At 37.2% G+C, this 27,383-nt stretch overlaps 1 protein-coding gene across 3 annotated transcripts in view, besides 1 other annotated feature; it reads left to right on the forward strand.

Moving 5' to 3' along the window:
- The window catches only part of ADGRG7 (adhesion G protein-coupled receptor G7), an 85,879-nt gene that overhangs the window by 18,649 nt on the left and 39,847 nt on the right, over positions 1 to 27,383 (forward strand). Inside the window, exons 2-12 of one of the 3 annotated variants that reach the window (NM_032787.3) lie at positions 1,349 to 1,462; positions 2,456 to 2,560; positions 5,016 to 5,128; positions 7,428 to 7,577; positions 9,053 to 9,153; positions 15,017 to 15,156; positions 15,277 to 15,384; positions 17,696 to 17,859; positions 18,320 to 18,475; positions 21,446 to 21,558; positions 26,586 to 26,932. In NM_032787.3, the coding sequence (NP_116176.2) occupies positions 1,349 to 1,462; positions 2,456 to 2,560; positions 5,016 to 5,128; positions 7,428 to 7,577; positions 9,053 to 9,153; positions 15,017 to 15,156; positions 15,277 to 15,384; positions 17,696 to 17,859; positions 18,320 to 18,475; positions 21,446 to 21,558; positions 26,586 to 26,932 (1,611 nt within the window). Of the gene's footprint in view, positions 1 to 1,348; positions 1,463 to 2,455; positions 2,561 to 5,015; positions 5,129 to 7,288; positions 7,578 to 9,052; positions 9,154 to 15,016; positions 15,157 to 15,276; positions 15,385 to 17,695; positions 17,860 to 18,319; positions 18,476 to 21,445; positions 21,559 to 26,585; positions 26,933 to 27,383 lie in introns of those variants that run through there. The other 2 variants (XM_047449088.1, NM_001308362.1) reach the window with 2 other exon arrangements.
- Positions 22,737 to 22,786: an enhancer, noted in NCBI's record as "active region_20162". NCBI's record gives its function as "activates an Ori minimal core promoter by ATAC-STARR-seq in GM12878 lymphoblastoid cells {active_cell/tissue: GM12878}" and the evidence as "EXISTENCE:reporter gene assay evidence [ECO:0000049][PMID:35858748]".

Genomic DNA, 27,383 nt, shown 5'->3' on the forward strand with positions numbered 1-27,383 from the left:
CTTCAAGTAGTTTTTTTTTTAAAAACGTTTGTGCAATTATTACCATTGTTATCTATGAGAGGGTTAATATGGTACAATCTATTCCATCATTATTGAAACTAGAACTCTGCCACTTGTTTTTTTTGTTTTTTTTTTGAGATTACTGTGTCACCCAGGCTGGATGCAGTGGTGTGATCTCAACTCACTGCAACCTCCGCCTCCCAGGTTCAAGTGATTCTCGTGCCTCAGCCTCCCAAGTAACTGGGACTACAGGCAGGCACCACCACACCAGGTTAATTGTATTTTTAGTAGAGATGCGGTTTCACCATATTGCTCAGGCTGGTCTCGAACTCCTGACCTCAAGTGATCCGCCCACCTCAGCCTCCCAAAGTGTTGGGATTAGAGGTGTGAGCCACTGCACACAACCCTGTATTCTTCCACTTAGTTAATTTGTTCACCTTTCACTCTGTTTTACAATTTAGAAACTCTGCTATCCCCAACTCAAAATAACTAGTCATTAGATCCTAACAATTCTTTCTCAGGTATGCTTCCTGAACCTAGTGACACCTAACTTTCTTAGAGTCACTGCTTGAGTTCTAGTTCTCATTTAACTGGTTTTCCTTCCCCCTTAGCCTCAGTCATTTCCCATACTCCTTCACTTATCCTCCTAAAAATAATTCCTTATGTTACTCCTTTGTTTTATGACCCCTCTAAGGTTCCTTCAAGATTAAATCTTCTTGGTTTGGTTTATAAAGTCCCTTCCAATTGAATCTATGTCCTGATGTTGTTCCACATAGAACCAATGCTGATGTTAAATTCTTCTCTGTTCCTTAGACACATCAGAACTTTCCATGTTTTTGTGATTTTTGCAGTTCGTATCCTGCCTACTCGGGTCACCCATTTTCATCTGGTTTTTCAAGATGTAATTTTAAAATCCAGTCCACATACTATCTCTTACCGGGTCTTCTTGGCTAGGTTACCTCTGTCATCAACCTCTCTCCTATGTGTTTTTACTGTACTTATAAGCCTCCATGTTGACTCTATCTATCTATCTATCTATCTATCTATCTATCTATCTATCTACTTACCATCTATATAATTTCTGATTTCTCAGGGGATTCTAATCTCCTTGGTCAAAGTATTATGTCTTTCAACTACATCTTTCTGGTATCCATAGCATCTAGTAAGCATTGTACATCTAGTGTAGATTCTCAGTGTATATTTTATTAATGATGATATTACAAAGAATATTTCTCAGCAATGATACTCAAAGCAGTGGTTTTACGTGTAGAAATTAAGTGGCCACAGGCATGAAAGGAGAAATGAATCAGCCAGTTCATGACTATTCTGTTATTTATTGTTTCTTTAGGAAAATCTACTTCCTCATCAAGCACCCCTACAGAGTTCTGCAGGAATGGTGGAACCTGGGAAAATGGCAGATGTATTTGTACAGAAGAGTGGAAAGGACTGAGATGTACAATTGGTAAATTACTTGGGATAATGCTAAAGTGTAAGGTTTACGTCACTCTTGTGTTAATAAGAATAGCAATAAAGCTTCTAGAAGCTTCAGTTAATGGTTACAGAAACAATGGACATAATGATGATGGCTTTAGGATGTGTTTATCAGCTCAATAGTAAAAGCTGAGTTTTCTTCTTGGCCAATTTATCAGTATATTCAATGCACCTTATCTGTTTCCTGACTACTAAGTTTTTTTGCAAACTCACAGTCGTGTTTCCTGGCTGCAATGACTAATCCAGGGCAATGAATGACATGATTCTCTCAGGTCCTTTCAATTGGTAATATGCCATAATATACCATTTCAAATATCACTACTCTAATATATTTAACTTTTCTGAAATCAATATGCATCTTCCTGAGTATATACTTATATTAAATTTTTATCTTTTCTTCCTCTACCTTGAAGAGTTGTTATTAAGTTAGTGGTTTGATTTCAATCAATTGTGTCTCAGAATCAAAGTTCAAGGCCATTTTTAAATTTGAGGTGTGCTTCCCAACACCGTACACTTCATGCTGTCTGCTTAGGGTTCAGAGCCCTAGATATCCACTGCTATCATTTCCTATACTCCTACCAGTCAATATATCCCACAGATCCCATGAATTTGCCTTTTTGCTTTGCCCACATCCTCATGGTACCGTTGACCACTATAGGCTCTATATTTTTAGTTCTGAAGATTCCAACTAATCTGTTACAGTATCCTAGCTCACATTCCCTCTCTACCCAGGTTTATATTGTGCACATTTTAACTGGAACCTGTTGTCTAACATACTAGTTATTCTAACGGCAATGACTTAACCAGATAGCAAAGTATAGAAGTTCCTCACAGGCCAGTGGGTTCTATAAGCCTTCTATTGCCTTTCAAATTTCACTGCATAGGTTCTGACCTTTGACTTTTATCTGGTTTCAATTTTTTTAAAATACAATTTATAATAAAGAACTTTTTCTCTTTATTACAGCTAATTTTTGTGAAAATAGTACCTATATGGGTTTTACTTTTGCCAGAATCCCAGTGGGCAGATATGGACCATCCTTGCAAACATGTGGCAAGGATACTCCAAATGGTATGTGTTTTCCCAAACATTTACTCTATGCATAAGAATTACTATGCTGAGTCATACCTCTCATACCTCCTACTAGTGTTAGGTCCCTGAAGGGCATCAGGAAAGGTTTTGTGGAAGGACTTAACTCCCTTTCGTGATGCTAATGTTCAAAACTTAAGGTAGTATCTCACAAAATCTTAAATTTCCCAACAGTTTCATATGAATCAGTTGTTTGTGAATTTCTCTGAATCTTTCCTTAATTGGTTTATTTTTCCAGCTTTTGCTTTCTCCTGGAGTTCAATTAAATTGACATTTGCTCCTTTAGTTATATAATTAAAAAAAAAGTTCTAATCAGCCAAAATTATGGACTTGTATCATATCTATTTTCAGATTTCATCTTTCCAGGTAGAGATGCATGGTTAAGTCTGTTCATAGTTGGTAGTCCTTCACCTTTTTGGTCATTTTAGTTATCCATCTTGGAACATTCTCTAGCTTCATTCTACTTTTCTTAACATGACTACCTTACTTGTATAGAGGCATTCAGAGAGTGAAAGAGTAAATAGTATTTTCTATTTCTAATATGGTCCCTGATAATATCCAAGATTTTGGTGATTCATTTCAGTGCCACATTGGGTAATGTCTTCTGAGTGTAGGCTTTAGGAATTCCTAGATTCTATCCTGATAACCAGAGCCTATTATGCCATTTAATTTCCACTAATGTTTTACCTGTCCCTTGTTTGCCTTGACTTGCATTTGAGCAGTCCTACTTCTCACATCTTCCTGCAGGTAATTCGCTACTTCCTATGGAACTAGATATCTCAAGAATACAGCCAATTCTAGATCATTGACAAAGATGTTTGATAAAACTACTGCCGGCAATGGCCCTGAAGAGAATGTGACATTTTATTTAGATATTTATTTTTGTATGTGTCAAGGGAACTCTGAAGCACTAAATAAATTAAATGAATTGCTCTTTTTAAATTACTTTTTATCTTATTATTATGAGAAATTATGCATATCCGTATTTGATTTGTGGAATTCAAATTGCTTCCACCCATATATATCATTGTGTTAGTCCATTCTTGCATTGCTATAAAGAAATATCTGAAATGCCATATCAGTCATGCTTACTCAAGTATTCATGATGCTACTCTATCTATAAGTCCTCCTGAATTTTTTACTCACAGCGTAAAAGGGGCTTCTACCATGTTGACACTATATATACTATATATACCATACTATACTATATGGTATGCTATTGGTAACTATTGTCTTGATTTTACATGTTTTGTGTGTCCTAAATATTTCATAATGGTTTATAAAACAGATACAACTTACAAAACATAACTGTGCTACTGAATTAGGAAGAGTAAAAGTGTCAGTAACATACCCATGAAGAGTCATCACACTTGTTTAATATATATTAATTCTTTGGGACAAGAGACTCAACATTTTTTATTTGGTTATTAATTTTTCTTTTCTGAACACCTATTATAAAATCATGTTTATAATATTTATCCTCAAATTTCAGATTGAGCCTATAATTTTACAGATTTGGATTCTAACTGTTGGCAATTTTCCTTTTAGTCTTATATTAATAATTGCTTCTAATTACTCAATATTATATACCAAATGATCAAAATACTTTTCAATGATTTTTGAGTGGGGATATTTGCACTTTTAGGTAACATTGAGGAAAAGATGCATCTGACATGTGTCCACTTAAAAGTTATTTATAGCCCATAAATATGTTAGAAATTTTCATTATGTCATGGTGTAGAGGTGAAGCCATCATATAAATTAAGAGTGACTCCAACTTTGTGCTTTACATATTATTGAAGCAATCTCTAATTTCAGTGTTTCTAGTTGTTGTCCCAAGAAGGAGCTGCCCAAAGCTGGTCCTGAGGAAAAATCTACCTTTTGGTCAGCTGTCCCTCTAATTATGATTTTTTTCTATAGCAACTACTTAAGTATTAACTACAGGAAGGCAGTGAGGTAGGGAGGCTTAAGTGATAATCCTAGGAAATAAACCAAATGACCCAGCAAACATTTATTGAGGCAACTAAACATCTAATAAATATAATAGAATATAACAGAACTCTTTGCCTTTCAGCTGTTATCCAGATTTCATAAAGCAGTCAAGATCAACATATAATTCAGTATCTATTAGGAATTTTTCATATTGTTTCTAGTCTCTCAGCCTAGCATTCTCTCATCATATCCACTTCAAAGCCATTATGTACCTTATTGTTGAAAGGTAAATCTTACTTGAAGACATCAAAGGAAGGAAATAGTCAACTGGTCTTTTGAAGTCCAGATTCAAAAATCAAGATAATAAGTGGTATCTGCCTAAAAATAATAGGCAATAATTTTTAATAAATTATAACTTTTAATAAAAATTAGTTATTGCCTAAAAATAATAGGCAATAATTTTAATAAATACTTATTTTTAATAAAAAATTTCTTTGTATTAAAGCGGGCAATCCAATGGCAGTCCGGTTGTGCAGTCTCTCTCTATATGGAGAGATAGAATTACAAAAAGTGACAATAGGAAATTGCAATGAAAATCTGGAAACCCTGGAAAAGCAGGTATGCCATATGACTCACTGATGGGCAACTGGAAGAAGTTCTGATTCCGTGCAGTTTCTGTTCTTCAGATACCTGATGGTCAAATCAATTCTTTTAAAACTCTCAAATTAGTAATAACAAAAACTAGTGACTAAAGCCACTCTTATTATTTATTTATTTATTTTGAGACCTAGTTTTGCTCATGTCACCCAGGCTGCAGTGCAATGGCACCGTCTCGGCTCACTGTAACCTCTGCCTCCCAGGTTGAAGCAATCCTCCTGCATCAGCCTCCTGAGTAAGCTGGGATTACTCATACCACCGTGCCCGACTAATTTTTGTATTTTTAATAGAGATGGGGTTTCACCATGTTGGCTAGGCTGGTCTCGAACTCCTGACCACAGGTGATCCGCCTGCCTCAGCCTCCCGAAGTGCAGGGATTACAGGCGTAGTAAGTAAGCCACCACACCTGGCCGCCACTCTTATTTTTAAAAGTTGACATCAGTTTGTGAAAAAGGACTGTTGTTTCATCAAATTTCAGCAAATGATGATCAATAGCACATTAAAAATGGCTTCATCTTTGTGGAAGTTTTGACTGGATATAGATCCCTGACATTTGAGACCAAAGGAAAGCCTCTTGATGGTGTAACTGGACCAGAATGAAGAGAAAGAAACTATTATCAAAGACCCTTGGAAACAGGAAACTCCAAACCTGATGCGGGTCTCAGGGCAGTATCTATGAGCAGGTGAAATAGAAAGTACATCTAACTAGATGTTTTTTCATGCAGATTAAATTATTTTGACCAAAGTTGTACCCAAATGCACATGCATGGAAGAGCTAACACTAGGGGACAAGCAAGGGGGAGGAAGAGGAAACCAACCTTTATGTACAGCCTTTCATGTGCCTGGCATGTTGCATATGTTATCACATTTAATCCTTATAAAACTTCTGTGAGTTGAATGTTATTCCCATATTATAAATAATTATAGCCAATAACACTTACTAATTGTTGAGCACCTACTGCATGCCAAATATTGTGCCAAATATTAATGTATTTATTAGTTTATCATATTTAATTTTTATAACACCATAAATAGGTATTAATGTACACATTTTATAGATGAGGAAAATGTGGTTCTGAGAGGTGAAGCATTTTGCCTAGTGATCACAGCTAAAAAGTGATAGAGCTGTTCTTTATTTTAAAGTTCACATTGTACTACCCTGGCTCCCTAATCACAGATGGGCAGGGTAGGGGTTGGGTGGGAACAGAAGTTGGAGAGTGGATGTGGCTGCCAACCACACAAGTTGTGCCAACCCACAGATTGAGGAAAGATGCTAAATTTGGAATCTGGCAAACCAGTGTTTGGTTCTTAGCTCTGCCACTTCTAAGCTGTGTGAAACTTGGTTGAGGTCCCTAACTTCTCCTGAGGGTGAACAACTCACAAAGTTGTTTTGCTTATTAAATGTGATAACACCTGTAAACATCTAACAGAGTGCCTAGCACATAGCAGGGATCTAGCAATTGAATTAGGGTTATTTGTTTCTGTCTACTGATTGGGTATTGTTTCTGACACTTACCCAAGTGTGAATAGCCTATAACACTGGTATAATTTGTGAAATGATGCTGCCATCTAGTGAAAACCAAGACACACACACACACACACACACACACACATACACACACACGTGCGCGCGCATGGACACCCAGCTTCACCAATGACAATATGGATTGGCATGTTTTAGCCTCACAACACAGAGCCCTGGGGCTAACTGGCACCTAGAGAGGTCATCTCGGCCAGTGCCTTCCAAACTACCAGTGCTGAAAAGCCAGTTCAAAAAATTTTGAACCCATTGCACACCAATATTTTTGTGAAATAATAAAAATAAATTACTGGAAAAATGAAATAAAAAATATGTATAAAATACAAACCAAAATTTTAGAACTGTTAGATTCAACAGCAAAAAATTGCTATATACATCTCTGACCAATTGCTTTCAGTTTCTGTGCTTATCTCTCTACGACCTTTGTAACACACAGTGAACCAGCGCTGGCCCATGGATACACTCTAGTAGCCCCAATCTAGCTAAGGCAGCCCCTTATAGTTAATCAATCCTGTCAAACAGGAAAGGCTGGCAAAACCACTGGTCTGCATGTACTTTGTCCTTTACACAAGGAAGGATGCAAACGTGGAAAACTGAGTGGACATGGTGTTCAGGAGATTGAGGCTCAGCTAAATTCCAGCTTATTTACCTGCAGTTGCTTACAAAGTGTTTGGACATAATTGTGTAAAGCTAGGGTTTTTTTTCTGGTTTTTAAAACAGGTAAAGGATGTCACAGCACCACTTAATAACATTTCTTCTGAAGTCCAGATTTTAACATCTGATGCCAATAAATTAACTGCTGAGAACATCACTAGTGCTACGCGAGTGGTTGGACAGATATTCAACACTTCCAGAAATGCTTCACCTGAGGTAAAACTCACAGAGCTTTAAAAAAAATTTTTTTTTTATTTTTAGAGGGGGTGTTGGGAAAGAAAGAGAGATGTCCTGAATACCACTCCTTATTCCACAATATGGTTTGAGCATGGTTTAAGTTGCTTAAAGGCATTTTGCATAGCACTCCTGAGAGACGCTCAAAGATTAAAAAAAGGGCCTCTTGTCCAAATATTTTATTTTAGGATATTCCTAATGATCATTATTGTGTTGTCTTTTTCTTTTGAGACAGAGTCTCATTGTGTCACCCAGGCTGGAGTGCAGTGGCACGATCTTAAGTCACTACAACCTCTGCTTTCTGGATTCAGGGGTTCAAGTGATTCTCAGGTCTCAGCCTCCCAAGCAGCTGGGACTACAGGCACACACCACCACACCTGGCTATCACATTAAGTCTTTTAGGAAGTCCTGGAATGCATAAGTCTACTTCACCTTATGAATATGTTTACCAACTACATTTGACCTTACCATCCCTAGTGCATTCCAAGTAAATAGTGTTTCAAGAATTTAATTTGGAACATGTGATTTTAAACTGCAATGCATTTCTATTAAGAATATTTACATTTTAGTCTTGGCTTTCTGAAAACTTTAAGCCTAGTTTACATTCCTGATATTTTAATTTGCTAAACCCTGGTACTTGAAAACAAGTATATTCAACATTTACTAATTGGTATAGCTGGATAGTGATCAAACAGGGCTACAAACCACCAATATGGACTCACCTTGTGTATAGGTTGAATATCAGCATGCCCTGAAAATAGCTACTCCTTTCTTCCATTCCCTTTAAATGTTTTGTTTCAGAAAAAAAAAATTGAAATATTTTTCCTGCTAAAAAGTAAGTGGGATTCAAGTTAATAAAAATGGAATTGAAAGAGAAAATATTGACCTCCAAATGTAGAATTAATGGAAGGATTAACAAGTAGGCAGAAGGGCTTCAACACTCCCAAAGAGGGAAGATAAATAGTAATCAAATGCCAAAAGATCATCTCTCTGACACACTCCTGAGTTATTGATTGAAAGAAAACTACAAATAATTTTACTAAGTCTAACAGGTATACTAAGTATAACTTAGTTATGCTAAGTATTATGAGCTGTAATTTTTAACAACCAGAGTATTGCACTCTTCTTATTTTGTTTCTGCTTTTGAATCCAAGCATTTGATTTTGTGTCCTTGGAGTTTGGTGGGGAGTCTGTGAAAGATCTTGCTATGAGGTCGAATTCAGGGACTTAAACCTCCTAATTCACTACCTTAATTTATATTTTCACTTTGCCTTATCTTGATTCTCTCTGTCATCTTATGTGGATCAAAGAATAAACCTTTAATTTTGTAAAATGCTTCCCTCTACATTATCATATCAGTGATGCCACTTGCTACTACAATGATTCATGATGATAATGATGGTGATGATAATGTATGATATATGCTTCTCTGATGATCAGTATCTTCTCTTTGGCAGGCAAAGAAAGTTGCCATAGTAACAGTGAGTCAACTCCTAGATGCCAGTGAAGATGCTTTTCAAAGAGTTGCTGCTACTGCTAATGATGATGCCCTTACAACGTAAGCACAAATTCAATTTGGAAAGAAAACTTGACTAAGGGCTGTTTACTTTCCTAGGCTAAAGTATTAACAGAGATATCTTTATTTCTCTCATGGATGCAGTAACTGACTGATTCCTCTGGAATGTAGATAAGAGCTGTGACTTTCCACTTGACCTTTAGTTACTAGATGGAGTGGTATATGTTACCTCCTGCATCCAGGGGTGCTGGCCATGGCCTGGGAGATAGGGAGTAACTGGGCTGATTTAGATTAGAACTTGTTTTCCTCACCTTAGTTTGGCATGACCAAGGGACAACTTCCATGCACAGCAAGACCTCTTCCAAATTCTTTTGCAAAACATAGAGCTACAGAGAACAGCTCACTTTGCAGGACATACTGCCATCCCCCAAGCTGCACCTCACTTCTCTCTTTCCAAGGCCCTGGTATATTTTGATTATTTTCCTTAGCTTTACTCTTGATCCCTTCGTGGGACTTGTGATAGGGGTGCCCCGTTTACTCAGCCCACCCCACTCAACCCCTTGCGGGAGGGAATGTGTAGATGAGCAAGTGTGGGAATCAGCCAGTCACTTCTCCACTGTCAGGAGCGAACTCTGTGCAGGCCCCACAGCAGCATCCAGAGGGGTGCCTGCAACCCCAAGGCCCCAGAGGGCATGTTACAATGCTCTCTTAGCTCCACCATCCATGGACAACATTGCATTATCAGCCCAGTGGGCCCTTTGCCTTGTCACATGGGGTGGCTGCCCTCCACCAGTGAAGGCAAAGGGCCAGCATAACAGCCTTTTTGGGTACCTGCACTTGGTGGGTCCCAAATTCTTGTCCAGTGCCCAAGAAGAATTAGGTCACCTGGACAAATTGAAGGATGGCAAATGCAGAGAATTTTATTAAGTGATGAGGGAAGCTCTCAGTGGAGAGGGGAGCTGGAAAGTGGGTGGGAAGGGCAGGTTGCTCTCCCCTGAAGTCAAGTCACCTCTCAGCCTCTCTCCTTCAAAGTCAGGTTGCCTCTCACTGTCTCTGAAGTCAAGACACCTCTTCCTGACATCCAGCCACTTCTCTTCCCTACCAGCTGAGTCTGGGGTCTTTTTAGGCACAGGATGGGGGAGTAGGGCAGGCTGTAGTTTTGGAAAAGGCAACATTTGATTCGTAAAAAGACATTATTCAGAAAGAACCAACCAATGGGAGAGAGTGGGTAAACAGGGATTGAAGTTCTCACTTTGGGTTTCAGACTACTTTTGGCCTGAAGGTTTCCCCCTGGGATCCACCCTTGTCTGCTTAGAGTTTCTCTGCCTCCTCCCTTTCTGACCAACACTACATTGAAAAAAAAGAAAAAGAGAACTCTACCTGCTTTCTCTCTTTTTTCCTCCTCTGTTCTGGATTACTGTTGGTTGAATATTTGTATTAAAACTCATGTACTTTATTCATAGAGGCCCCTTGTTGGTATTCACTGTATTTTTACCTTATGCACACTTGTCAAAACCCTTTTAAAACTTACATCAGCATGCATGCTTATTGTAGAAAAATAAGAAAATATGTAGTTTAGCAAAATTTAAAAAATTATCTTACCTTTATTAACCTGTTGGTATATATTCCAGGTTTTTTTCCCTCTGTTTCTGTGTGTGTGTGTGTGTGTGTGTGTGTGTGTGTGTGTGTGTGTGTGTATGTATATGTATATTACATACTATATTGATTCATAACTTGCTTTTGTCACTTAATACCTTACAAACTTTTTTCTGTAAACATCTTTTATATAAATATATACACATCTACATCATAATTTTAGTTTACTGCATTATATGTGTAAACTTTTATTGAACCAGTTCTCTGCTCAGCAACTGGACATTTACATTGCTGGAAGTCTTTTAATGTTCTAAGTAATTAGCATTCTGGTACATAATCTTTATTTACACGACCCATTATTTCCTCAGGAGAAATTCCTAGAAGTAGTTCTTAGTTTTCTAATGATTATGACAAGTACCTACTTAGCGTTGAATTTTCAAAGTAGAAAAAGCACAAAGGCACAAAATAGAGCATTCAAAGATTACAATTCTGAGAGGTGGTTGTAGAGGTTGAGTGAACAGTTTTACTGGCATACTTTGTGACTTCAGATTTCAATAGGAGTCTGGGCCCTTCTCATGGAGAATGTGGATGTCTCTCATTTTTCTTGACATATGAGAAGGAAGTGGCCATGGGGTCCAGAGTCTATGTTCAGTGAACAGAGAGGCCAAGAGCCAGAGTGGGCTCCCTTCAGAGATGAAAGCTTTGTGTTTGCAGATTCTTGCTAGACGGGAGGAATGAACGTTTTTGGTGAGAAAGCTGGGAAAAGAGAAGTTGTGGGATTTGAACATCACAGTTCACAAAAAAGATAGGAACATTTTCCTAAAAATAAATAATTATGAATTTTGCTGACTTAATATATAAAGGAAAATACAATTTTGTGTGATTTTTACACAATATCCAAATAGTTTTAAAGGAGGTGGTTAAAGGATAAATAAAAATTTAAGGTATAAGATACAGTGAACCTTAAAATGGTGTAAGCATGCTCAATTTCTCCTTTTATCACTCTGAATTTCTAGTCCAATTATTTTCTAATAATGTTCCATCAGTTTATCTTCTACCAACGTGATCTTTTGCATAAGCTCTTGTGGACTCAGATCCTTCCTTCATTCACTTAGATAAAGCTTCCTCCTCTGCTTCTAGCCCCAAGGTCAGGTCAACAACCCTTTAGCTCTCTTTAGGAGAATACTCTTGATGAGCTTCCAACAGAGGTCATCTCTCCACGAGAAGGAAATTAATTGTTGTTTAGGACAACATTTGCTTTCCAAACTCTATCTTCTGAACCTAGGCCAGATGCTGGGTTCCCTGACAGACATCAGGCCTTAGTCACCCATTTCACTTTGACTTCTTCCTTCTTTCATTCCAGTTTTCTCTTGGTATCTCTCAGCTACTGAATTGCCTTTCTATAGTATAGGGAGAAGAGGAGAGGGTGAGAATAAAAGGGAGGAGAGTGACAGAGAAGAAAGACTCTTTGACTCTGTCAAAGTGGGCAGAGCTCTGGAGGTGTAGGGTTTCTGCTGGTGAGGGCATCATAGTACAATCAATGAGTTTAGGACTTCACCTCACCATTTTTTTTTCCTTTTTTTGAGACGGAGTCTTGCTCTGTCACCCAGGCTGGAGTACAGTGGCAAGATCTCAGCTCACCACAACCTCTGCCTCCCAAGTTCAAGCAATTCTCCTGTCTCAGCCTCCCTAGTAGTTGGGATTACAGGCATGCACAACCCTGCCCAGCTAATTTTTGTATTTTTGGTAGAGACAGGGTTTCACCATGTTGATCAGGCTAATCTTGAACTCCTGACCTCAGGTGATCCACCTGCTTTGGCCTCCTAGACTGTTGGGGTTATAGGCGTGAGCCACCGCGACGGGCTGACCTCACCATTGTAGACATTGCTTGCATAGTCTGATCTGTAACCTTAGACCTTTGATCTCATATTGAAGGTCATAATTACCCTGGTTTATCTGACTTTGGGAATGCAAAATGCCTCCCTAGCACTGACCACCTGTACATTTACATTTCGCTTTTCTTTTTTTATTTCTGTTCCAGCTAGCCTGGCACCCACTCAAATATCTTGAACAAATAGAGATTTATCGTAAATAGGCATATGGGGTCTCATGGAGGCCCAAGAACTAGATCATAATATAGTGGGCCTTGTCAACCCAAAATAATCAAAAAGGTCAGAATCTAGTTTAAAGAGAGTTCGTTCAAGTGCAAAGTTTAAGGACAGCTGCCTGGGAAGCACAAATTCCAAAAAATGGAAGTCAATGTTTTGAAGTATATAAGTTTGGGATCATTTATATAAACAAAGTTTAGGGAAGCTTAAGAGAGTTTTAACGTCTTTCTATATAAGGCTTTCTATATAAGGCTTATAGTAATGCATGGTTATAGTAATCTGATTAGCTGAGGTGGTCTTTTTCTTTTGGGAAATGTGTATTTAACATTCCACACTGAAGGTGTAACAATTACACTGAAGACGTAACAATCATGAGCTAAATGGTCTGAGTTAGGTACAGGACAAAAAAGGAGGCAATTAATCTGTAACATAGATCAGTCATTAGAAAGGGGAAAGGTCTGGCCTCTCCTAGTCATTTACAGAACAAGAACAATGAGGAAGAGAGTTAATCTATAATCTAATAAGCAGAAGTTGCAAACACGCTACACGTGATTCAGTCTCCAGGGCTTAACTTCCTTTTGACATAATAAATTTAGAGGGTCTTGAAATTTTATTTTCTTTTATTGCCATATGGACCCTGGAGCAGGAAGATGACTGAGGATCCAAGGCAGCTTTGGAAGCCTTAGTAGAGGAGTTTACAGGTCTTTTCTTATTTTCAACAGGAAGAATTAGCCTCTTATTTTTAATTTGTGGTTTTTCTCACAATGATGTAATGACCTCTCTGGCTTCCTCTAAATTATGACTTTCCTGATATAACTACAGCACTAATCAAAAAAAACCCCGTTTCCAAGAATCTGATGACTTATTTTAGTCAATTGTGCCAGGTGGATGACCACTTTCTGGATTGGCTTCTCTGGGGCAGGTGCCCATCTGTAATCTTATCAGTTATGACAAGAGGAGGAAAGAAGTACAAGAAAGAAAAAATGACCTTAGAAGTAGCTATGGTTAGAGCAACCCTGTAAAAGTGGGAACATGAAAAACACCTCCTGTATATCTACCACATCTTTCCTTTTAGCCTGCAAATGCCTGAGGGAGCAGCTCCTGGAACTCCCACTGTTTCACAGAGTGCTGACCTCTACATAGATACTCAACAGATACTGTTTGGTAGAATGATATTCTTAGCAGGTGGGAGTTTTGTTAGGTATTCCTCCCATTGAAAGCAGCTCTGGGGTATGTGTGAATTGCTGAAAATGGTTTTATAAAAGGAAAACATTTCAATCAGAGGATCTAACCTGAATGTTTCCATACGAATGATGATTATGTTCTCTTTATAAAGCAATCCTCAATTATTGTAAACTTTCTTTTTATCTCATTTGGAGGTAGAGAAAAGATATTTTAGTGTCAGAAATAAAGATTTGACATATAGAACAACTACATTTTGATGAAATCCTTTCATTTCTGGAAGAACTAGACTGATTATTTTACATACAGAGGTTTTGTTTGGTCAAGTACAGAAATAGTTCAAATATTTCTATGGGAAACAAGAAAAAGAAAAGGTCTTATGACTTTTCTTTGGAGAATGCCAAATTGACAGGTTGCCCCCACTCCCTCCCACCTTCCATCTAATCTATCTTTGAACTTAGCCAAAGTAGAAAAGAACATTGTAAAAACCTTCAGGGTTTAGTTCATAGCTGAGGCAATGAGCTCAGAGCTCTGCTCTTTGGTGGTTCCATCTGAACTGTCACCTCAGGAACGAACAACTTACAAAACATGCTTTGGATCCTAAGGGGTTTGGGTGAGAGGAAGAAGATGAATAAATGGAAATGGATTCTCACCACTGGAGAAAAAATTAGAAGTGCATGCCTTGCCAATGGTGGGTGGCAACACCATCCTTCTATGTGAAGAGCATCATAATAAAGACTATTTCTTTTGGGAATTCTATAATTCTTGAGTTCTACCTTTTTGCCATCTATGTTCAAGGTAGCCTTCAGTGAGGACTGTCCACCAGAACTGTTTTATTTAAGTACATATAACACAACAAAACTCTAGAAAAGAAAACCAATTATTCTTAGGCAATTGTCAATGTTGTCATGACCACACAATTCTATGCTCATGTCTTTCTGCTGTAGTGTAAGACAGAACACATACCTTTCATTTTATGACAAAATCTTGAGTATTAAATTGTGTTTTATTATATGCAGGCTTATTGAGCAAATGGAGACTTATTCCTTGTCTTTGGGTAATCAATCAGTGGTGGAACCTAACATAGCAATACAGTCAGCAAATTTCTCTTCAGAAAATGCGGTGGGGCCTTCAAATGTTCGCTTCTCTGTGCAGAAAGGTGAGCTGTTAATCTTATGTGCTTGTAACAGCAAAGAGCATTCTGCTACTGATGATGAATAATAATGCTCTACTCATGATAATGTAGACTTTTACAATTCTACTCTTTCCCTTCTCATAGGAGCTAGCAGTTCTCTAGTTTCTAGTTCAACATTTATACATACAAATGTGGATGGCCTTAACCCAGATGCACAGACTGAGCTTCAGGTCTTGCTTAATATGACGAAAAGTAAGTCTCAAACTTTGTGACATTTAAAAAAATGGACTCGAATTCATGGAACTAATAACTTCTAATTTACTCTAGGAGAAATAATGTCTACTTAGTTTCATACTGAGTAATTTGCATTTGAGTAAGTTTGAGCTCTGACATATTATGGTAATCTCAACTCTACTATTCTAAGTCAAAAAGATAATTTCTTTGTTTTTTCTTTTTTCAAAAGCCTTTTGGAAGGTAGCAGAATTGAAATGTTCAGGCCATGTACACAAATATGTTTTCCTACAAAAATCTTGCTAAGGTGGTTCTGTTTTACACTTACAAATTTAAGACATATTCAATCACAAGCTCTGACCATGTTTACTAGTGGCATGACACTCTCAGGCTCAGATGCATCCTGCAGACCTAACCCTGGAGAAGTCTATGTAATTGGCACAGACATCATTTAGTAGTATCAATTTTAGGTTATCTCCTCTCTGTGGTGCCCACCATGTGCTCACTATTGTCCTACATATAACCTTTCAGAAATTCTTACACGTAACTTGAAGTGGTTGTATTTTTCAAAATCTAAAAAAAAAATAAGTAAATCAAACAGACACACTTACTTTTCATTTCTCCCCAAGCAAAAAAACCCGATGTCAGAAAGTATATGTGTTAGATAGAATATATTTATAATAGCACTAAAAAAGAAGAGAGTATTATTCGTGAATCTGGCACTCTGGAATTTTGCTCTCATTTGCTTTGGCCACATGCTTTGTGATGGTAGAGACTAGATCTAAGTCTTCTATCTTCTTGTGCATTTTTTCTTTTAATTTAAAAATACTTCATGCATACAGAAAAGTACAGAAAGTAATGTGAACAGTACCTATGTAACTATCAGCCAGGTAAACAAATATCAATTTTTCCTATATTTGCTTCAGATCTCTTTAAAAAAGAGAGAGACAATATTACAGTTGCACCTGAAGCCCTCTACCTCACGAATCACTGCAGCCTCAACCTCCCAGGAGGAAGCAATCCTCCAGCCTCAGCCTCCCAAGTAGGTGGGACTATAGGAGCCCTGCTAATTAAAAAAAAAAAAAATTAAATTTTTTTTGTAGAGACAGAATCTCGCTATATTGCTCAGCCTGGTCTCAAACTCCTGGGCTCAAGTGATCCTCCTGCCTCAACCTCTTAAAGTGTTGGGATTATAGCCATAAGCCACTCTGCCTAGTCTCATTCTTTTATTTTTAAAGAAAGAATAAAAAGAAACCTTGCTCCATTATTAGGGTTAACTTTTCATTTAGGGTCCAGGAGAAACAATTTGGTGATGTCAATGTACTGTGAACAAAAGACAGCAACCCATCCCTTTCTCTCCAGGTAGAGGCTCCAACAATGGCCACAGAGGAGGACAATTTGGGGGCTGTCGGGGCCTTGCCTGTCTCCCTCTCAAATCAGATGACTGAATACTCTGGTCTCACACCACAATGTTTTCCTTTTATCACTTGTGAAAGACAACAGAGTTTAGGAAATTAATTCAGTTAAAATGTATACTGTTGACGCTTCTGCTGTTTTAAATATGCCAACAGTTGTATAAGGTGTTAGGAGGCAGTCCTGGTTCTCTTTGACTGCTGCCACCAACGGGCTGGGTGCCAAACCCTCCACAGCAGCGATGGTCTTTCAGGATCTTTGATGAACAGCTGATTCCTTTTTCCAATGTCCAGAAGATGTTTCACAGTAGACTGCTAGCCTTGGGAGAAGCCCATGATTGTCATGACACAGAGCAGGGGACAATAGTTGAAGAGATGGTGAAGAGTGCCTGCCTCAAAAACTCCACAGAAGTGACTTGAGCTCCTTGCTCTGTGACTTAACACCACTTGTCCCCTTTGAACAGGAGACCGACCTCATCTGGGCTTAGCCATCCTGGTGTCCCAAGCTTTGCTATTTCCTGTCTCATATTTTATCATTGCAGGAGGTAACATGGGCTGGAGCTACCCACATGTTGTGTTCACTCTCTCCATCTCTCATGTATAAAGCAAGACGTTTACTTTATATATGAGATCTTTGCAATACCTTTTTGAGGTGGACTAGGCAGAAATTCTCGTTCCTGTGTAGAAGGTAAGGAAACTGAAGCTCAGAAAAAAAAAAATTAATGTGGGTGGAATGGCCCGCCATAGGTTATATGTGTTACTTACATATTGCAATTAAGTAAAGGTTCAACCAGTAAACCATTTTTACTGTACTTTACTCAAATATTAAGCAGCCATGCACTTCTACAATAACGTGACATATTGTTTTTTGTTTACCTTACAGTGCACTTATTGATTTTAATGTCTTTTTCTCCCTATAGATTACACCAAGACATGCGGCTTTGTAGTTTATCAAAATGACAAGCTTTTCCAATCAAAAACTTTTACAGCTAAATCGGATTTTAGTCAAAAAATTATCTCAAGCAAAACTGATGAAAATGAGCAAGATCAGAGTGCTTCTGTTGACATGGTCTTTAGTCCAAAGGTGAGTTTTTCATTGCAGATGCAAGAAAAAAGTGTCCTCATGCTTTCTTTCTGATGGTGGCAGCTGAGACTGAGTAGAGTAATACAGGGGAAGAAGAGAATAGGAGGGCGGGGGGGAGGGTTTTCCATGAACAGAAATAATAAAAATTCAGACCACTCTTGAATAGCAAAAGCAGGGATATGTTGAATAAAAGAAATCTATAGCAAAACTCTTCAAAAGGTTCTTTGATGTATCCATTTGAATATCCCTCCCAACCATATCTGTTGTCAAACTAACTAAATGCAAAGTTAACTAATTTAAATTTTATCTCCTTTTTTCCCTCTCCTTAATCATAATGAATATGCTGATGCTTAGTATATATTTAATTCATTTCTCAGATGACTGTCTTATACTACTTGATTTTTTTTAACCCAATTAAGTATTTAGAAACAGTAATTGTAATTGTCTTATCAATTCATAGTACAACCAAAAAGAATTTCAACTCTATTCCTATGCCTGTGTCTATTGGAATTTGTCAGCGAAGGACTGGGACACATATGGCTGTCAAAAAGACAAGGGCACTGATGGATTCCTGCGCTGCCGCTGCAACCATACTACTAATTTTGCTGTATTAATGGTAAGGATATACATAGCAATCTCTTTCCAGATGAGAATTTTCCTTATACACAATTCTAGTAGGTGCTCCTTGGAGATAACTTTGGGATTTAATTTACATAGATTCTCAACTCAGATTAAATAGAAAAACAAGAAATAAAATAATGGGACTTAAGGCCGGGCGCGGTGGCTCACGCCTGTAACCCCAGAACTTTGGAAGGCCGAGGCGGGCAGATCACGAGGTCAGGAGTTCGAGACCAGCCTGACCAACATGGTGAAACCCCGTCTCTACTAAAAATACAGAAATTACCAGGTGTAGTGGTGCACGCCTGTAATCCCAGCTACTCAGGAGGCTGAGGCAGGAGAATCGCTTGAACCTGGGAGACAGAGGTTGCAGAGAGCCGAGATCACACCACTGCACTCCAACCTGGGTGACAGAGTGAGACTCTGTCTCGAAAACAAAAACAAAACAAACAAAAAAAATAGGACTAAGGTAAAGGCAAGTAGAATAGAACTTTTTGCTATGTGGTCTTAGGATAGAGAGGTCAGAACTATGTATTTGATCATGGGAAGGGAGTCCATGTGCGAAAGAAAAGCTGGTGGGCTCCATTCAACTAACTCACACGTTCTGAAGCATAAAGTTGTTATAGCCAGAGGTAAAGCTGTATAGCTGTGTGCCAGAGACAGGTTCAATATTTACTTAGCTGTATGTGGACAGTTTAAATCAGTTACCCAAAGCTTTTCCCAATGAAATTGCTCAGGTTACTAAGTTTTTGCTAGAAGATATAAAAGAAAAACTCTGTAATCCCTTCAATTTGTCCCCTAGTTTCTCCGTGTATTCCTTAATTCTTTTACCTCTAAAGCTATACTGTGCAAGTAACTGATAATACTTAGCTCTGGCGTGCAGCTGTGCATGCGTCTCTCAAGGTTCTTGTGCTGACCTTTGTAAGAAGAGGGGCTTCTTCTGTATGTTCTATTTCCAGAAATCTATTATTCCGGTGAAACAAAAAAAAGTTAGTTTATATACTTGATGGAATGTTTTTTATACACAATGGAATGGGGAATTATGAAGAGTGTTCTTCTCCTTAGTAAGGGACTATTAATGCTATGAATCTCCCAAGGAGAAGCAGATGTTTTCATTCCCCAGTAGCTATAATATAGCCATATTTGGGAAGCCAGTGGAGACTGGTAGAACATACTGGTATAGCTTGCATTATCAAAGCACAGAACCTTGCTTTTTAAAACTTTTTGAGATAACTGTAGTTTTCTCATTTTAATTATAAAAGCTCTCTTATTCAAATTCATTTGGATTATTTCTTTTCTAATTTGTATTACAGAGAGATCTGCCTTCTCAATCAGGAGATACAGGAGAAAAATTTAACTTTTTGATATCTTAAAGTCATAGGATCATTGATGAGCTATGTAAAGCTCAGGTTGCTATACATGTTAAATGATATAGTTTACTTTATTATAGTTATCTTTTCCCTTTCTTGAGGTTAGGCTTTCAGCTATTTTTTCTCATTAGTATCTGACTGTCTCAATGTCTACGTACCTACATTTGTAATTAGTTTTGGTTTGCATTATTTTTTTAAATGGCTGATTAAAATTGCATGATTAAGAGCAAATCGGCTCTGAGTGAAAAATATTATTTTTAAAATCTGAAGACCTATGAATCTTACGATCCTTTTTGCATCTACTTAGTACACTACGTATAAGAAATAACATAAAATTTTTGTTTTATTTTTAAATGTGTATTTTGTTTTTATTTTATTTCTATAAAAGCAATACACAGGCATTGCATAAAGCATGAAAGTATGCACCAAACAAAAATATACTGATATGGAAAAATGTTTATGAAAAAGTAAAATGGCAATTCAAGCATAATGCTATTATGTTAGCAAACCCCTGTATGTTTGTGTAAGAGACATAGATAGTATTTTTAAGCATGTAAGAAAAAAAGACAGGCTCTCAAGAGGTAGGTATGGTGTGGGGTAGCAGGCAGTATAAAGGAACATATGCTTCTTTATTATGCCTCTATATTCCTTTCATATTTTACAAATAAGAATACATTGCTTTTCTAATTTTAACAACTTAAAAAAATCAGAAAGTACAGATAAGCAAAATGAACTATACATATCCAACCCACCCTGTGACCACCACCACTACCTCACCAGATTTCTAAGATTACATACTCATATGGTACATATTTTCATATATATATACACACGCAAACATGTTGAGAGATATATAGCTATATTACATAAAAATAAGGCTTCCTTTAAAAAATTAACAGGGTATGAGCATCTTTCCATATTTATGAAAATATTTCTGCAACTTTATTTTTAGTGCATCAATTTAGATATACTTAGAGTCCAGTTACACATAAAAATAATGTCATGAATAAGTGAGGCAACTTTTGACAATTTAGATCTAATTCAAACAATTTTGATTTTAGACATCAAGGAAAAGTATAAATAGTTGACTTGTGAACCACATGGGACAGTATGGGTCCACTTAATATGTGGATTGTTTTCAATAAAAAAGTCTGCCCTCCACATTGGCAGGTTCTGCATCCATGAGGAAACGTAGATGGAAAATAACAGTATTTTCAGAGTGCAAAACTGGTATATGCAGGTCAGCTTTCCACATCAGCAGGTTGCACAGGACCAACTGCAGGACTTGAGTATCCATGGCTTTTGGCATCTGCAAGTTGTTCTGAAACCAGTCCCCCTGCAAATACCAAGACATGACTGTATATTTTTCCTTAACTGAATTAGTTAGATAATTATTCTCAAGCCTGTATACTTCAGGTAAACTGCTCAGCAATAAGGGGTTAATGTATTTCGCTTTTAAATATATCATGAGCTTTACAAAAGGAAGATATATCTGGCAACTGTCTGGTTATTTTGACCCATGTAACTCTGTGATGTTGACTTTCATTAACACTTCAGGGATGACTAATTAAAAATATGAGTCTTACCTTGTTTTTCAGACTTTCAAAAAGGATTATCAATATCCCAAATCACTTGACATATTATCCAACGTTGGATGTGCACTGTCTGTTACTGGTCTGGCTCTCACAGTTATATTTCAGATTGTCACCAGGTAAGAGCAGAAGCAGGCTCTTTTCAGAAGAGAAATTGCTATCTTGATATAATTTACTCTGAGAATTCTCATGAGTAGTGTCTTTGAACTAGGCAAGAACTCAGAGAGGTACTTATTTTACAGAGGAGGACATTTAGGCCTGGAAAGGCTAAGAAATACACACAAATAAATACGTAATTACAAATTGTGGCAAGTGCCTTGAAAGAAAATTATATGCCACTTATTTACAAGTTTGTCATGTAAAATTTATGTGGTCCTGCAGCTCATTAATGCTATAATTCCTCAGTGTTGAATAGAACCATGCCTAGCAATTTGTATTTGTTAAGGAAAGAGACATTGCAAACAGCAATTTTTTAAAAAAGTAATTTAAAAAATATATCAAGCTTTCAAATGGTGAAACGTTTTTCAAAAATATAGTTTTCAAATGGTGAAAGTTTTTGAATCCCATACATTAAATTCTAATTTTAAATAATGACCTATAAACAAATACTTCTCTCCACCTTGACCCCTTCATTTGAGGTCCAATTTTGTATCCCATTCATTATTTTTTGTCACATGCTACATTTTTTTAACTGCCTGCGGTCTTTTAGAAGCTTGTTCATTTATTAATTTACTCCGTTTACTGTGTGTTTCCTCTGTCAACTTCACATTTCATGTTTGTTTGGTCTTTCATGACATTGAAATTTTTCAAGCATCCAGGCCAGTTACTTTGAAAAATGTTCCACAATGAAGATTTGTCTGAAATTTTCCTCATGAAGAGATGCAGGTTAATTATTTTTGGTGGGAATACTGCAATCATGGAATTTTTTTTAGTGTGACACAACAAGAAGTGCGTATCAGTATGTCCCATTATTGTTGGCTGTAAGTTTGATTCCTCGTTTAAAGTGATGTCTGCCAGATTTCCACATTTTTTCCCTGTGTAAATAATAGATGACTCGTGGGGTGCCACTTTGAGGCTGCATGATATCCTGTTTCCCAAAAATCTTTTACTTAATGATCTTGTTACTCATCCTTACTGGAACAAATTATTACATTAAGTGGTTGAAAAATGGTGATTTTTCTAGGCTATCACTCTTTCTATATTTGTTTGCTATACTCTTTTGTAAAAAGCATACTTCCCAGTGTAGCCAGAGGGAGCCCCTTCATGTTGTTTTGCCACGTCTCAGTCTTTAGTCACTTCCTTATTTCAATCAAAAGCAAAATGATCATCTTTCACTTTCTCTGCCTCATACCTGAACCAGCCATTTCTCCAAAGAGCCAGAATTGTTTTCGATTCCTTTTCTTCCCCTTTTCACATTAAATGAGTCTCTTGCCATTCATTTAAAAGTTTTATAGTGAGTGCTTATGTTGTAAGGAGCTGAATACAAAACTATGAACAGACAGATAATCTCCCATCTCTCATGAAATATACACTGTTGGGGGGAAAAGGCAGACATTATAAAAATATCTACACAACTGAATATTACAAATTGTGGTAAGTGCCTTGAAGGAAAATTACATGTTTGTCATGTAAAATTAAATGCCTCTTAAATTTGTCTCATTATTTGTATTTCTACCATCACCACAGTTGTACTGACAATTATTTGGTCCCATAGGGATGAGTCATAGTTGCTGCATAACTAGTTTCTTTGCCAAAACCTCACTCTTTTCATTTGTCATCAGATTTTTTTCCTCTTTCATCAATATGTTTTCTAGCACAATTATGCAACCAAAGATACCACTAAAATTCATCAGGAAACAAAAATAAAAATAAACACCAGGCATGGAGGCTCACACCTATAATTCCAGCACTTTGGGAGGCCAAGGCAGGAGGATTGCTTGAGCCCAGGAGTTTGAGACAAGCCTGGGCAATACAGCAAGATCACATCTCAAACAAATTTTTTTTTTTAAAGAGAGAAAAAACAAAACAAAAATAAAGACAAAATTTTATTGATTTTAAAATCCTGAATTATAAAATTTTCTTTGTTCTTGGACAGGTTCCCATATAATAATAATGCACAGAATACAAACAGTCCCCTACTGACCATGGTTCAACTTACGATTTTTCAGCTTTAAGATGTTGCAAAAGTGATAGCATTCAGGATGTTTCTTGATTTATGATAGGGTTATGTCCCAATAAACCCATTGTAAATTGAAAATATGGTAAGGTGAAATGATATTTTTAGTTTTCGATGGGTTTGTTGTGATGCAATCTCATTGTAAGTTGAGGAGCATCTATATAGTAATAATCTATAAGAAGGGCCAGGCTATTTGAAAATCACCTCTTCTTCCTGTGGATTATAATTGATAAAATTAGATAAAAACTAGACTCTAATCTTACTTTTATATAAAAAGATTCTTCTGAGTACTTTTTGCAGTTCTGGTCATTAAACCTCTCAATAGATTTAATGAAATTTTGAATTGTCCAGAAATCTCAACTAAAATGTCAAGCAGATGGACTGAGTTCTGTTTGAATGAAAGCTTTTTTGTTCAGTGTGGGAATCCAAAGATCAAGCGAGGTCATGATGAAACATCGTAAAAACATAAAGAATACATAATGGGCAAATAGACTTCATCAAATTATGAGTTATTAAGAATAGAGAGGCATTTGAAGGTTAGAACTTTAGGCATAGTAATAAACCTGGGAAATGGTATTCCAAGAGGTCTTGCAGTCTGAAAAATCCAGAAGGCTTTAGATGGTAGTGAGTAGAGATTTTATAACTTTTATTGGCGAGGAACTGTCTGCCATAGTGTACATGAAAGTGTAACATGCCTTTAAGGGGATATAAGGATATATCTGCCTTTAAGCAATAAGGAAAATAATACATGTACAAAAAAGAATATCACATTTTACTTCTGAAATCAACTTTATTAAGAGAAATCTTGCATTCTCTGCCAATCTGAAGATATACATGTGGGCTAGCACAGAATATATACATGAACTACACACACCACACCATACATACACACACACCACACCATATACACACATACACACACACACACTCATACACATTCACTCATACTGCCTTCTGAAAATTGCTGGTAAACAAGGCCGGCCTGCAGACAAAATAAGAGAAACAGCTGCTCTTTTAGAGCAAAGACATTAGGTAAGCATGAGAAGGGAAAAAAAGGCAATTTTAAAGAGCACTTGGTTGTACACCCAGAAATTATATCTTCCAATAAAGGGATAGTCCTTCGGAATGATTTACATTCAAAATGTGGTTCAGGACATCTTGACCATCTGACAATCAGCAAGCATTTCCCAAAATGTGGTCCTTGAAACATTAGTCCAAGGGAGATTCTTGATGAAAATAAGGTTCTGAAAAGTCTTGCAGAAAAGATATGTGAAATATTGTTATGTATAAACCATTTAAAAAAGCAGTAATCATTAGTCTACTTAAATTATAAAGAATAGCATCAGTAACAATAGGCCATGAAACAAATTAAAAATATTTTTACCTAATTTAAATCTTCATGTAAGCTTCATTCTTTAAACGTAAAGTAAGCTGAATATTACCTAATTTTGTTTTAAAGCTGTTACACTGTTATGGGAAATTATTAAAAAATTGTATTTGGCCTTATTTTAAAATGTATAAGTGACTTTTAAATATAAATTACATTTTAAAACTCAAGAGACTTTTTCTCTACATTTAAACATGAGTTCATCTACTAATGTGCAGAGTTTTCTATTATAAAAATTTTAAAACTCCATATAGGGCCTCTTCTACAGATGGCCTTCACATAAGCTTGCAAATCTACAGTAGAACTTATTACCTCATGTTATATTAAAAAAACTGCCCCAAAACTCAGTGGATAGAAACACATATTATTTCTAATGATTTTGTGGCTTGTCTGGGTTCAGCTGGGTAATTTTTCTACTGGTCTTGCTGGAGTCTTGCAGTCAGATGGCGGCTGGGCCAGAGTCATCTGGAGGTTCACCTAGGATGCTGGGGCAGCTGCATCTTTCTCCCTCTCCATACAGTCTCAGAGGACTTTCATGCAATTTTTTTTTTTTTCAGCGAGGTGGCTGGGCTTTTTACACAGTGGCTCAGAACTCCAGGAGCACAAAAGGAAAAGCTGTCAGTGTTATAGGATTTTCTCCTTTGTTCAGCTAAAAGCTGGGTTCTTGTCACGCGACTATGAAAGGTTAGGCTCGCAGACACTTTGAAGGGTGAAAAGGACAGGGTTAATTGGGTGTAAAGGAAAAAAAAGGGAAACAGGGACTATCAGCAAAGTGAGAGTCCTGCTACTAGGCTTCCCTCCGTGCAGATTGAATCCACGGATACCTCCTCGGAAGAGGAGAGGCCAGGCTCCTCCCCTCTGCAAAGGGCAGGAACTTCCCACAGCTCCACCCCGTTCTCCCAGTGCGCGGGTCAGTTGGAGGTTCTCCCGGTACACCTTTATACTAGGTTGTCTCACGTGGAGGGCCATGTTATGACTTTTATGTTCCCCAGGCACTTGTGCCTTTGTGGAACCTTTCATTCATTAATGAAAGATTAAAAATTTTATTTTATGATTGCATAGGTACAAAGATGAATATATTAATATCCTTTGAGCTAAGAGTTCTCTTTTTTCTTCTGAGTCTAAAAGAAGTTAAAACATTACTATGGGATATGAACACTAAGCACTATTGTGTCTAATGCATAAGTCGGCCTTGGCTGCCAGGCCTTCTGTTGCATCCCATCAGTTAAATCAAGGTACAGGCCAGGTTACTGTGAAGGGACTACGCAGGGCTACCTACCAGGAAGTAGGGTTCACTGGGGGCCATTTTTGGAGATTAGCTATCACTTTTGATCAGAACACAGTTTCAAGAAAAGATATGTCAACCTGTATCCTTTAACTCATGACTTTGTGGAAATGATAAGAGGAAAGTATAGTTTTCTGATGTAATCGAGAAGGTAGATTTACCAGCTGTCACAACTGGGCTATGAACTGAACTTACATTGGGCAATAATATTCTTTGTTCCCAGAAATTTCACTGCAGTTTGTTTTGTGCAGTTGTTGTGTTTCATTTAATTTTTTTATATTAATTTACTTATTTTCAGGAAAGTCAGAAAAACCTCAGTAACCTGGGTTTTGGTCAATCTGTGCATATCAATGTTGATTTTCAACCTCCTCTTTGTGTTTGGAATTGAAAACTCCAATAAGAACTTGCAGACAAGTGATGGTGACATCAATAATATTGACTTTGACAATAATGACATACCCAGGACAGACACCATTAACATCCCGAATCCCATGTGCACTGCGATTGCCGCCTTACTGCACTATTTTCTGTTAGTGACATTTACCTGGAACGCACTCAGCGCTGCACAGCTCTATTACCTTCTAATAAGGACCATGAAGCCTCTTCCTCGGCATTTCATTCTTTTCATCTCATTAATTGGATGGGGTAAGTGTTTGCATCTCCCCTTTCTCAGGAATTTAATTTTGTGGAAATCATTTAATTTAAACACTTATTGAAGGCCTAATAGTCCAAGGCCTTGACGTAATTAAGAGGAGATAGAAAATATAGTGATTGCTAAGAATACGTTCCGTCTAGTAGCTTATATTCCAGTGAAGGAGGCAGATGCGATCAAGGCAAGAATACGAGATACATCGTAAACTAACTTAACTAACTTAAAAATGTTAATTTCCTTTAACATCTCTTTTTATTAATTTGATTTGAGATTTAGCCACAAATAATTAACTTCCAGCTAGTTTAAAAGAAATGTTTCAAGAAAGACAATCAGAGTGACTCTTTAAGCAAAAATATTTGAAAAATTTATTGGGTTCCAGCAAAGGAAGACTTGTTTCAGGGATATCTAAATTTAAATGTATTCAAGTGACTGAGGAACTATGCC

This window comes from Homo sapiens, chromosome 3 (assembly GCF_000001405.40).
Source record: "Homo sapiens chromosome 3, GRCh38.p14 Primary Assembly".
Lineage (NCBI taxonomy): Eukaryota > Metazoa > Chordata > Mammalia > Primates > Hominidae > Homo > Homo sapiens.